The sequence below is a fragment of the Homo sapiens genome, chromosome 17, assembly GCF_000001405.40.
Source record: "Homo sapiens chromosome 17, GRCh38.p14 Primary Assembly".
In the NCBI taxonomy this organism is placed as follows: domain Eukaryota; kingdom Metazoa; phylum Chordata; class Mammalia; order Primates; family Hominidae; genus Homo; species Homo sapiens.
Genome location: NC_000017.11, coordinates 75792887 through 75806866, shown reverse-complemented (window position 1 = coordinate 75806866; position 13980 = coordinate 75792887). Strand labels below are relative to the sequence as shown.

Genomic DNA, 13980 nt, shown 5'->3' with positions numbered 1-13980 from the left:
GTTTCTGGCCTTTCTCTGTCCAGATGACACTGCATGGTGCTCAACCCTCTTCCTAGAGCCCGAATTTAACTCTTACTATTATTATTATTTTTTTGAGACGGAGTCTCACACTGTTGCCTGGGCTAGAGTGCAGTGGCGCAATCTCAGCTCACTGCAATCTCTGCCTCCCAGGTTCAAGCAATTCTCCTGCCTCAGCCTCCCTAGTAGCTGGGATTACAGGCACCCGCCACCACGCCCAGCTAATGTTTTCTATTTTTAGTAAAGACAGGGTTTCACCATGTTGGCCAGGCTGGTCTCGAACTCCTGACCTTGTGATTCGCCCGCCTCGGCTTCCCAAAGTGCTGGGATTACAGGCGTGAGCCACCGCGCCCGGCCCAAAATTTAACTCTTGCTTTTTTTTTTTTGAGACGGAGTCTCCCTCTGTCGCCCAGGCTAGAGTGCAGTGGTGCGATCTTGGCTCACTCACCGCAACCTCTGCCTCCCAGGTTCAAGCAATTCTCCTGCCTCAGCCTCCCAAGTAGCTGAGACTACAGGTGCATGCTACCACGCCTGGCTAATTTTTTTTTTTGTATTTTTAGTAGAGACGGGGTTTCACCATGTTAGCCAGATGGTCTTGATCTCCTGAACTTGCGATCCGCCCGCCTCGGCCTCCCAAAGTGCCGGGATTACAGGCATGAGCCCCTGTGCCCGGCCAGCAAACTCTTCTTGTAAAGGACCAGATGGTAAATATTTTAGACTTTAGATTTCTTTTTTTTTTTTTTTTTGAGACGGAGTCTCGCTTTTTTGCCCAGGATAGAGTGAAGTGGTGTGATCTCAGCTCACTGCAATCTCTGCCCCTGGGGTTCAAGCGCCTCAGTCTCCCAAAGTGCTAGGATTACAGGCGTGAGCCACCACGCCCAGCGGACTTTAGATTTCTTTTTGAGGGGATAACAATTTGCAAAGTTGGGGGATCCCTTTCATCAAAATGGATTACAAATGTTCATTGTTAATTCTGATTCTATAATACATACATATATATTATACACACACACACACACACACACACACACACACACATTTTTCTTTTTATAAGGCAGGGGCTCGCTCTGTTGCCCAGGCTGGAGTGCAGCGGCTCAAGCAGGGCTCACTGCAGCCTTAACCTCCTGAGCTCAAGTGATCCTCCCACCTCAGCCTCTGGAGTAGCTGGACTATAGGCGCGTGCCCCCATGCCCAGCTAAATTTTTTTTATTTTTAGTACAGATAAGATCTCGCTATGTTACCCGGGCTGGTCATGAACTCCTGAGCTCAAGTAATCCTCCCCTGCTTTGACCTCCCAAAGTGCTGGGATTACAGGTGTGAGCCACCACACCTGGCCTGTAATGAGATTTTTATGTATTTCATCTTTGAAAATGTCTTTTCACATACATAGGTATTGCTAAATGCTGATAACATTCCACAAGCATGTGGGCTTGTTTTTTTTTTTTTTTTCCTTTTTGAGACAGTCTCACTCTGTCACCCAGGCTGGAGTGCAGTGGCGCAATAGCTCACTGCAGCCTCAACCTCCTGGGCTCAGGCGATCCTCCCACTTCAGCCTCCCAGGTAGCTGGGACCACAGCCACCATGCCCAGCTAATTTTTGTATTTTTTGTAGAGATGGGGTTTCACTGTGTTGCCAAGGCTCAAGCATATAATATTTTTTTTTTTTTTTTGAGATGGAGTCTCGCTCTGTGCCCAGGCTGGAGTGCAGTGGCGCAATCTCAGCTCACTGCAAGCTCTGCCTCCTGGGTTCACGCCATTCTCCTGCCTCAGCCTCCCAAGTAGCTGGGATTACAGGCGCCTGCCACCACGCCCGGCTAATTTTTTGTATTGTTAGTAGAGACGGGGTTTCACTGTGGTCTCGATCTCCTGACCTCGTGATCCACCCGCCTTAGCCTCCCAAAGTGCTGGGATTACAGGCGTGAGCCACTGCACCCGGCCAAGAATATAATTTTTATTCAGGATATCCATCTCTTAGATGACAATTGTAGAATTCTACTAATTTTTTTTTTAAGACAGAGTCTCGCTCTGTTGACCAGGCTGGAGTGCAGTGGCGCAATCTCGGCTCACTGCAACCTCTGCTTCCCAGGTTCAAGCGATTCTTCCTGCCTCAGCCTCCCGAGTAGCTGGGATTACAGGTGCCCGTGACCACACCTGGCTAATTTTTGTATTTTTTAGTAGAGACAGTGTTTCACCATATTTGCCCAGGCTGGTCTTGAACTCCTGACCTCAGGTGATCCGCCCGCCTCAACCTCCCAATGTGCTGGGATTACAGGCATGAGCCACCATGCCTGGCCAGAATTCTATTAATCTTAATACTTCTCTTTTAATCTCTTCCAGTTGAAGATTTGGCATAAACTCAGTTGCGCAGATTAATGGATTTTTTATTTTTATTTTTTAGATGGAGTCTCACTCTGTCGCCCAGGCAGGAGTGCAGCAGCGTGATCTCAGCTCACTGCAACCTCTGTCTCCCACACTCAAGCGATTCCCCTGCCTCAGCCTCCTGAGTAGCTGGGATTACAGGCATGCGCTACCACACCTGGCTAATTTTTGTATTTTTTGGTAGAGATGGGGTTTCCCCATCTTGGCCAGGCTGGTCTTGAACTCCTGACCTCAAGTGATCTACCCACCTTTGCCTCCCAAAGTGCTGGGATTATAGGCATAAGCCACCACGCCCACCCAGTGGATTTCAAATTAGAGAAATTTCCTTTGTGTTCACATTGAGATGCAAAATCCCTGATAGAACTATAGCCTGCATTTGGAACATGTGTGTAGGAATGGAGAGCTTGCCTTTGTTTTCACTTTTGCCAGCACAGGAAGTATACAAGGCAGTTTAACATGACATATGATTTAAACATTTGCTGTCATCAACATGACTTCCCTGAAGCATAGGGTTTGCATAAGCACTGTTTTACTTTGGAGTTTTAGGTTGAATTCATTAACAAACATTACCTAGTCTGCAGCAAAAGCTAATTTCCAAAGCCATTCAGCATTCAATAGTGGTTGGGAGCGATTCTCCTCATTCAGAAAATTTTCAATCTCAGCCCTGAGCTCAAAAAGTTGAAAGAAAACTACCACTGCTAAGCCATCAAACTACTGCGCGGCAGGGCACATCAGAATATTCAGCTTCTATTTCTGACAAAAACTTATGGAACTGATGATGATTCACAAAACCAAGTAAAATTACTGATGCTAAGAGTTCAATAACACATGATAAATTAAGATATTTTCTGCAAAGTACCTGCTGATGAATAACACAATGAATAAACCACCTTACATTTTCACAAGTTTTGTAAATTTGTCCAATTATTCTTCCGCTGTACACATATTTTTACCACCACCAGCTGTAAAAGATACTAGCAGATTACACTTTAGGTTGTACTGAATTAGTGTTTTCTTAGCTGTGGACTCACCGACAGCCAGGAAAAACCACATGAAATCGGCCTTCTTTTTGATGATGTCTGGCTCTGTCACCAGGCTGAAATGCAGTGGCGTGATCTAGGCTCACTGCAACCTCCGCCTCCCGGGTTCAAGTGATTCTTCTGCCTCAGGCTCCCAAGTAGCTGGGACTACAGGTGCCTGCCACAATGCCCAGCTAAATTTTTTTGTATTTTTTAGTAGAGACGGGGTTTCACCGTGTTGGGAGATCGATGGTCTTGATCTCCTGACCTCATGATGTGCCCGCCTTGGCCTCCCAAAGTGCTGGGATTACAGGTGTGAGCCACCGCGTCCGGCCTGTAATTTTTGTATTTTTAGTAGAGACGAGGTTTCACCATGTTGGCCAGGGTGGTCTCAATCTCCTGACCTCGTGATCCGCCCACCTTGGCCTCTCAAAGTGCTGGGATTACAGGTGTGAGCCACCGCGTCCGGCCTGTAATTTTTGTATTTTTAGTAGAGACGAGGTTTCACCATGTTGGCCAGGGTGGTCTCAATCTCCTGACCTCGTGATCCGCCCACCTTGGCCTCTCAAAGTGCTGGGATTACAGGTGTGGGCCATGGTGCCCGGCCTTCTTTTTTAATTGACTACTGACATTGCTCCTAATGTCCTCAACATTTTGAGACACTGTTCCTGCTGAAAAGCTAACACTCTCAAACAAAAATGTGTTTTATCTGGACACACTTCTCCAGCTGCTGCAGTCAAACACAATTTAATTAACTCAACATCAGTAAATGGCTTTCCTTGCCTAGCTAACAAATGAGCCACTCAGAAACCTGCTTCAGTTGTAGCCTGCAACTGAAACTACAAAAATGTAGTTTTAATTCTTGTGAAGAAATTCTGCTGTAAGGAAATATTCCTAGCTGCATGCAGTGGCTCATCCCCGTAATCCCAGCAACACAGGAGGCGGAGGTGGGAGGATCACCTGAGCCTAGGAGTTTGAGGGCAACATAGCAAGACCCCATCACTAAAACAGTTTTAAAACATTTTTTTAAAAAACTAAGCCAGGCATGCACCTGTAGTCCCAGCTACTTGGGAGGCTGAAGTGAAAGGATCACTAAACCCAAGAGTTTGAGGTTGCAGTGAGCTACGGTTGCACCACTGCATGCCAGCCTGGGTGACAGAGCGAGACCCTGTCTCAAAAAAAAAAAAAAAAAAAAAAAAAAAAAAAAAAGACATCTGTGCTGAAAAAATCCATCAGCATTATCAGACAAAGCACTTATCACAAGATTCCCAGAAAAGCAAGCAATGGTCAGAAAAAAATTTTTAGGTCAGGCGCAGTGGCTCACTCCTGTAATCCCAGCCCTTTGGGAGGCCAAGGCGGGCAAATCACTTAGGGTCAGGAGTTTGACGCCAGCCTGGCCAACATGGAGAATCCCATCTCTACTAAAAATACAAAAAATTACCCAGGCGTGGTGGCTCACACCTATAATCCCAACTACTTGGGTGGCTGAGGCACAAGAATCACTTGAACCAGGGAAGTTGAGGTTGCAATGAGCTGAGCGCACCACTGTACTCCAGCCTGGGCATCAGAGCAAGACTCTGTCTCCAAAAAAAAAAAAAAGGCTGGGGGGAGCCGGGTGCAGTGGCTCACACCTGTAATCCCAACACTTTGCGAGGCTGAGACGGGTGGATCACAAGGTCAGTAGTTCAAGACCAACCTGGCCAATATGGTGAAACCCCGTCTCTACTAAAAATACAAATTAGCCAGGTGTGGTGGCGGGCGCCTGTAGTCCCAGCTACTCAGGAGGCTGAGGCAGGAGAATCGCTTGAGCCCAGGAGGTGGAGGCTGCAATGAGCAGAGATCATGCCACTTCACTCCAGCCTGGGCGACAGAGTGATCTCAAAAAAAAAAGGAAAAATAAATTTTAAAGGAATATTTCCTTCTTTATTTAAATAAAGAGACAGGGTCTCACTCCGTTACCAGGCTGGAGTGCAGTAGTGTAATCACAGCTCATTGCAATCTTGACTCCTGGGCTCAAGGTGTCCTCCTGCCTCGGTCTCCCAAAGTGCTGGGATTACAAGCATAAGCCACCATGCCCAGTCACAGCTATCTTTATTATTGGGTGCTTTGCCACCAAATGTGTTAACAAATAATCCACATGCCACCGAGCCTTAAAAGTAAAATACTTGAAGTGCATTTTTCTCTTCCTCTCTTCTTTTGACATAAGAGGTATGCACTGGTGATGAAGAACGTATAAAACATGGTATGCTGGCTGGGTGCAGTGGCTCACACCGGTAATCCCAGCACTTTGGGAGGTCGAGGCGGGCGGATCATGAGGTCAGGAGATCGAGACCATCCTGGCTAACATGGTGAAACCCCGTCTCTACTAAAAATACAAAAAATTAGCCGGGCGTGGTGGCTGGCGCCTGTAGTCCCAGCTACTCAGGAGGCTGAGGCAGGAGAATGGTATGAACCCGGGAGACAGAGCTTGCAGTGAGCCCAGATCACGCCACTGCACTCCAGCCTGGGCGACAGAGTGACACTCCGTCTCAAAAAAAACAAAAAATGTGGTATGCTGACACGTGCAGCAATGAGAAGCAATGAGCATCACATATAGTCAGTCTCCTGTTGCAACTACTTGAGTCTGTAGTTGAAGTGCACAAGCAGCCAAGACAACAGAGAAACGAATGAGTGCAGGTTCAAAGGAAGCGTTATTTTATTTATTTTTTATTTTTTGAGACAGAGTCTCGCTCTGTCACCCAGGCTGGAGTGCAGTGGCGCGATCTCAGCTCACTGCAAGCTCTGCCTCCTGGGTTCATGCCATTCTCCTGCCTCAGCCTCCCGAGTAGCTGGGATTACAGGCGCCCGCCACCATGCCCAGCTAATTTTTTTATTTTTAGGAGAGGCGGGGTTTCACTTTATTAGCCAGGATGGTCTCAATCTCCTGACCTCATGATCCGCCCGCCTCGGCCTCCCAAAGTGCTGGGATTACAGGCATGAGCCACCGCGCCCAGCCCAAAGGAAGCTTTATTTAGGGACTCTTTGAAATTCATACAATCGTCACATCACGAAATATCTTTTCAACCATTGAAAAAATGTGAAGGGAGGGCACAGTGGCTCATGCCTGTAATCCCAGCACTCTGAGAGGCCAAGGCGGGTGGATCGCTTGAGCTCAGGAATTGGAGACCAGCCTGGGCAATGTGGCAAAACGCTGTCTCTACCAAAAAAATACAAGAATTAGCCGGGTGTGGTGGTGCACACCTATAGTCCCAGCTACTCAGGAGGCTGAGGCAGGAGGATTCTTTGAGCCTGGGAGGTCGAGACTGCAGTGAGCCAAGATTGTGCCACTGCACTCCAGCCAGGAGGATAGACTGAGACCTGTCTCAAAAGAAAGTGAAAACAATTCTTACCTTGTGGGCCTTAAAAAAGCAGGCAGCAGGCTGGATTTGGCATGCAAGCCGGTTTGCTGACCTCTGCTCTACACTTGGGTTTTTTTGTCTTTTTTTTCCCCTTTTTGTGGAGAAAGGGGGCTCGCTGTATTGCCTGAGCAGGTCTCAAACTCCTGGGCTCTAGCTATCCTCTGGCCTCTGCTCCCTAAGTGCTGGGATTACAGGTGACCTCTGCGCTAAACAGTTGGTATGCCCCATCACATCACAGCCTTACATTTCCATACTTTTGATCATGTTGTCCCCTGGGTCTAGATCACCCTGAGGGTTCCCTGGCCCTGCCTGCCCCCGCTTCCATGTTCCTACTGCACTATGTGAATACTGCTGGTACAGCCACCACAGTGGATTCTGACTGTTTTGTACACTGCCACATCGATCATCTTTGTACCCCTGCACAGAGCTGACCCACAGCAGGTGCTTGAGATGTGGGAAGTGAAAAGAAAAGCAAAAAGCACCCCAAGTGGTAGAAACCTGGTACAAAAGCAGCTCTGCACGAACCCAGCAAAACACAGAGGAGCAACTCCAACCTCTGACTTAGATACATCTCCTGGCAATTAACTCAGTAAGCTCTCTCTTCCACATCACGTCTGCTCAGCTTTGTTCCTCACCTGAACACTAAAATTGAGATCTTCCGCCTCACACACAGAGTCGGTTGCTGGCATCTGGCTCTTTTGTCATTGGTGCTGGGAATGTGCAGAGACCATTACAGATTAACTTTTTTGAAAAAGGGTCTCATTCTGTCACCCAGGCTGAAGTGCAGTAGTGCAATTACAGGTCACTGCAGCCTCCCAGGCTCAAGCAATCCTCCCACCTCAGCCTCCCGAGTAGTTGGGACTACAGGCACCTGCCACCCCACCCAGCTAATTTTTGTATTTTTTTGTAGAGATGAGGTTTCGCCATGTTGCCCAGGCTGCTCTCAAACTCCTGACCTCCAGCAACCCTCTTTTTTTTTTTTGTTTTTGAGATGGAGTCTCGCACTATCGCCCAGACTGGAGTCCAGTGGCCCGATCTCGGCTCACTGCAAGCTCCGCCTCCTGGGTTTGCACCATTCTCCTGCCTCAGCCTCTGAGTAGCTGGGACTACAGGCGCCCGCCACCACGCCTGGCTAATTTTTTTGTATTTTTAGTAGAGACGGGGTTTCACTGTGTTAGCCAGGATGGTCTCGATCTCCTGACCTCATGATCTGCCTGCCTCAGCCTCCCAAAGTGCTGGGATTACAGGCGTGAGCCACCGTGCCCAGCAAGCAACCCTCTTTAGTCTCTCAAAGTGCTGGGATTACAGGTATGAGCCACCATGCACAGCCACTACAGATTAATTCCTGTTTCTATTTCCTCCAACAACCAATGGGTATCATGATGACTACTGACAAAAGCTGGGTATCGGCCAGGCATGGTGGCTCATGCCTGTAATCCCAGCACTTTCAGAGGCCAAGGCAGGTGGATCACCTGAGGCCAGGAGTTCGAGATCAGCCTGGTCAACATGGCAAAACCCCATCTCTACTAAAAATACAAAAATTAACCGTGGTTTGGTGTAGTGGCACATGCCTATAATCCCAGCACTTTGGGAGGCCAAGGTGGGTAGATCACCTGAGGTCAGGAGTTCAAGACCAGCCTGGCCAACAGGGCAAAACCTTATCTCTATTAAAAATGCAAAAATTAGGCCAGGCGTGGTGGCTCTTGCCTGTAATCCCAACACTTTGGGAGGCTGAGGTGGGGGGATCACCTGAGGTCAGTTCGAGACCAGCCTGGCCAACGTGGCGAAACCCCGTCTCTACTAAAAAATACAAAAATTAGCTGGGTGTGGTGGCACACACCTGTAATCCCAGCTACTCGGGAGGCTGAGGCAGGAGAATCGCTTGAACCCGGGAGGCGGAGATTGCAGTGAGCCGAAATCGTGCCATTGCACTCCAGCCTGGGTGACAAGAGCAAGACTCTGTCTTAAAAAAAAAAAAAAAAAAAAAGAGCTGTGGTCAATCTTTTTGTGGAGTGCATGTCTGCATGAATGTCCACCCTGTATGTTTTGTTTGTTTATAATCTGATTTGGACAAACCTACAGATTTGAGTACAGAGACATATAGGCAAGACAATGATGGCCTCCAGACAACTAAGACAAGCCAACAGAAAGAGATGGCGCTGCAACACCAGATTTGCTCAGGACTTCATGAATCCCGGAACATGCAGTGAACAGCAAGATGTAAGCCCAACAAAAGGGACAAGAGATTGAGCCGGTGGAATAACTCACTCTGGATGCCCCTCAGCCTTGGGTAATGGGCCATGAGTTTTCAAGATGGAGCGGCCAGTGAGGAAACACCTGTTCCTGCAGCTCCTGCTGCTCTCCTGGCCACTTAGTGTCACTACTCATGACCCTCACACAGCAGCTGGCAAAGACAGGGCAATCTGACAGATCTGCCCATATCCCTAATAAGCTACTAATGTTCATTTTATTACAGCCAGTCTTATAAAAATTGAATTTCATCTTTTTCAACAAGTATAGGCCAGGTGTGGTAGCTCATGCCTGTAATCCCAGCACTTCGGACAGCCAAGGCGGGCGGATCGCCTGAGGTCAGGAGTTCGAGACCAGCCTAGCCAACATGGGGAAACCCCATCTCTACTAAAAATACAAAAATTACCTGGGTATGGTGGCACATGCCTGTAGTCCCAGCTGCTTGGGAGGCTGAGGCAGACAACTGCTTGAGCCTGGGAGGCAGAGGTTGTAGTGAGCCGAGATTGCGCCACCGCACTCCAGCCTGGGGGACAGAGTGAAACTCCATCTCAAAAACAAAAACAAAAACAAAAAACAAATATATACAAGCTTTAACATGAATATAGGATCTTTTTAAAAAGCAAGACATAGTCCTAATCTTAAACATTCTTTATTGAAATCTAACCACAATATGATAGGATTCTGCAACTAGCACTAAAGGAAAGGAAAAACAAAAAGCCAAAAAACCTGTCATTTTTGAAGATTATTTGTAGTATCCAAAGGCTCAAATGATGCTTGTCTATAATCTCCTGCTTTCCATGTTAACCCTGCTAGCTACTTCTTTCCTTCCCCCACATATAACTCCTAAAAAGAAATGTAGTCACTGAGATCATAATTCACGGCTTATCAAAGGTTCTTTAAGTTTAAGAATAAAGTATGTTTTACCCTCAAAGAGAATATTGTAAGAGCATATGAGCCATGGGTTAAAATTCTAAATTATTTATCCAAGTATGTATATGTTTGTTACAAGCTGCTAAAAATCTTTCCTTATTTTTGCAAATCTGATAGGTAAACTATTATCAGTTCTACATTCCATATTTATAAGGATATACATACACATTCTGATACCAAACATGACCCAGAAACCATACAACTTTGTAACAGTAACCACATTGGTGGGAGTTACTAAAAATGGCTTTTAGTTTAGGCTGGGTGTGGTGTCTCAGGCCCAGCACTTTGGGGAGCAGAGGCAGGACGACTGCTTGAGGCCAGAAGTTCCAGACCAGCCTGGCAACACAGTAAGAACCTGACTTCACAAAACAAATTTAAAAATAAAAAATTAGTCGGGTATGGTGGTAAACACCTGCAGTCCCAGCTACTCAGGAGGCTGAAGTGAGAGGATCATTTGAGCCCAGGAGTTCAAGGCTGCAGTGAGCTATGATTACGTCACTGCACTCTAGCCTGGGTGACACAGTAAGACCATATCTCAAAAAAAAAAAAAAAAGCTTTAAATATTTGGATGGATCTGACACACTACACAGCTATAGAGATGTGGCTTCCAAATCTTCTAAAGTGATCCTGATTTAGAATATTCTCTCTGGCAGAAAAAGCAAGCTCAGGGAGTATTATTCAGGCAAATAAAATAAGTGTCTGGTGAATTTGTAAGTGTGTCTGAACCTTTAAGGGAGTCTTTGATCCCACACTGGCCTTTAGTCAGAGTAAATACAATATGATCTTATGGCTACTATGAAGCTCCTAGATGCGATGAAACTCCCTACCGCACCTGGGCACACACGCCCGTGCACACACACACAGCAACCCACAGTTCAAGTGCTACGGGCACTCAAGCAAGTCAGTGTTTTACAGTGGGGGAGCCAATCACTGGCAATTATTTCAGCCCACTTTTCACTGGGGCTCACTGGAACTTTCTGACACCTGTGAGCTGTCCTGGCCCCAAGAACTAACAAGAGCCAGGAAGGGTGTGCAATTAGTCCTGTGTGTCCATGGTCCCTTCTTTCTATAACTGTCCCCTTGCCCTGTGGGGCCTAGAGCTGGTGAAACTGAGGAAGATTCATATAAGGGTCACTCACGTCACTGATGTTAGAGAATATTCGAGAGTACTACAAACCCCCGTTCATCCTCCCCCAAATTATATAATACCTTGACTTTATCCAAAGTTTTTCTGGCCAGGCATGGTGGCTCACACCTGTAATCTCAGCACTTTTGAGAGGTCAAGACGGGCAGATCACTCGAGGTCAGGAGTATGAGACCAGCCTGGCCAACATAGCGAAACCCCGTCTCTACTAAAAATACAAAAATTAGCCAGGTGTGGTGGCGCGTGCCTGTAATCTCAGCTACTCAGGAGGCTGAGGCACTACAATCACTTGAACCCGGGAGGCGGAGGTTGCAGTGAGCGGAGATCACACCACTGCACTCCAGCCTGGACAACAGAGCGAGACCCTGTCTCAAAAACCAAAAACAACAACAACAACAACAACAACAAAAAGCCCACAAAGTTTTTCTGTACATAGCTAACCTGAAAAAGCTAGCCTGGAAAACCTCCAGTTTTATGACCCTTTAGTAATATGTTTAAACTAACATGTTCTTTGTACATTGTTTTCTGTACAACAACGTATTTGGCCCTAAACTGCATGGGTCAGTTTAGAACACACATCCATCATGTAAGATACAAGCAGTATGATGGAGGCGCTACAAAGACTGGAGAATGAAATAAGAATTCAAGTGGACGTGGAAGAGAGAACTGTTCTCTGAAGATGCTGCTGCCCCGTGCGTGCCCTAGGAACTGAAGGATCTATTTTAGTGTGGATGCAACTAAAGAAGGCATTCAATCAGGGCTGTTGAAGCAAGGAGCAATGCAACTGAAAGCAGTGACTAGGGCCCTGTTCAAATAATGGCGGAGAACAGTACCTACGCTGTGCTAAGTGCCAAGCACTGTTTTAAGCGCTTTACATGTATGAACTCATTTATTTCACCCTTATAACAACCCCATGAGACAGGTAATATTCCTATTCTCAGGAAACTGATACACAAAGAGGTAAGTCACTTGCCCAAGATCTCACAGCTAGTAACTGACAGAGCTGGGCCTCAAACCCAGGTGGTGTGACCCTGGAGTCAGTACTCTTAACTACCATGCTGACTATTAACTAAGCATTTTTTTTTTTTTTTGAGACGGAGTTTCACTCTTGTTGCCCAGGTTGGAGTGCAATGGCGTGATCTCGGCTCACCGCAACCTGCGCCTCCTGGGTCCTAGTGATTCTCCTGCCTCAGCCTCCCTAGTAGCTGGGATTACAGGTGCCCGCCACCACACCCAGCTAGTTTTTTGTATTTTTAGTAGAGACGGGGTTTCACTATGTTGGCCAGGCTGGTCTCGAGCTCCTGACCTCAGGCAATCCACCCGCCTCAGCCTCCCAAAATGCTGGGATTACAGGCGTGAGCCACCATGCCCGGCTAACTAAACATTTCTTAACTGAGCTAAAGGAAAAACAACAGTAGTAGCAAATAAGCCTCAGTGACTCTCTGAAAGCTGTTTAGAATATGTCAGAGAGTTTCGGACAGGCCATAACTACAATACCATAAAATAAGTTGCTGAAATAAAAACAGAAATGTTCACTTTAGCATGCTCTACTGGATATTTAATATACATTTTTGTATTCATTATAAAGTACTCTTACTTCAATAGTAAAACAGACGTTACTTTGTTTTTAATCAGGAAATACAAGTACCAGTCTCTAATTTATATTATATTTAGATGGTCTGATTCACACAAATCCTGAAGTGACAGGTCACCAGATGCCTGGCACCTCTTAACAGTAAAAGTGACATCAGAAACGTATAGTAATGTTCTTACCAAAATTAATAAATGCTTAGATATAAGAACGACTACTTAAAACTTCTAAGTCACAAAACACCATGCTAAAGGTTTTTATCAACCTCTTCTTTACAGAACATAACTACTTCTCTTATGTGGGGGTAGACTTGTGAATAGGCCAAAATTTCATAGGAAGGTGGGACATGGACCTTCCCCCTCCTTATTAAAAGTCATTTTGTCAGGACTTATGGTGGCTATATGGTGTTTCAAATGCTAACAGGAAACAAATGAGTCAACTTATGCACATGAAAAGCAAACTGTGAATAAAGAATAAGGAAGGGGAGGAAACAGTTCAATAAGTTCAGATACGACTTGATGATACTGTCACAGGCTGTCACAGGCCTCAGTATCTTCTTTATGTCCTAAAGAAATTGAGCCACCAACAGGAAAAAAGGTCACCTCACAGAGAATGCTGTGAGATTTTTAAGTTGCTAGACTCCTTTCCATCTTCTCCTTCTCCTCAGCTCTTGATACTGCTGTCAAATTCTACACACTGGCAAAGAAAAAAGGGGTGAAAGTTGAGGGATTTTATAGAGAAATAATAAAAAGTTTGTTGTGATTACTTGAACTAATATAGTATAGCCATTGATATCATTTTAAATGCCTAAAACACATGGCCTGTCCTTAAAGAAATGCCCATGTAAACCTTAAAACACTCACGATACCTGAAGAATGGACTCTATTACATTTTAGCAGGACAGCAAACTTCTCTTCCACCTCCCACCCACCCCAGGAAGTAGACATGATTCATCTTATGAAGGCATTGCTAAAAATCTGCTTGTTCCCTGGAATGGCTATCAAGTTGGAGACAAGGTAAAGTATAATTACCAGCACCTAAGAGTCTCAAACTTGTTTTCTGAATACGTATTTCTTATCTCAAAACATCTCCACAGACTTATAACATGGCGGCATTCAACTAGAATAGATACACAGGGCCTAAGCCACTGAGAAAGCTGGGAAAAGGGCACCAAGGAGCTTTGCGCAAACCACAGGCTTTCCCACACTGAACCACTGTTGCTGAGCCTTGGCAATAGGCCATGCGCTTGAAG

The 13980-nt window shown here is 46.1% G+C and overlaps 1 protein-coding gene across 10 annotated transcripts in view; it reads right to left on the bottom strand.

Annotated features, from left to right (window-relative positions):
- The window catches only part of UNK (unk zinc finger), a 40994-nt gene that overhangs the window by 18933 nt on the left and 8081 nt on the right, over positions 1 to 13980 (bottom strand). For 3 of the 10 annotated variants that reach the window (XM_047436962.1, XM_017025248.2, XM_047436963.1), the window contains one exon: positions 9470 to 13424. The exons of 6 other annotated variants lie outside the window; for them this stretch is intronic. In XM_047436962.1, the coding sequence (XP_047292918.1) occupies positions 9470 to 9660 (191 nt within the window). In that variant the 5' untranslated portion in view covers positions 9661 to 13424. Of the gene's footprint in view, positions 1 to 9469; positions 13425 to 13980 lie in introns of those variants that run through there. One more of the 10 variants, NR_038131.2, reaches the window with a different exon arrangement.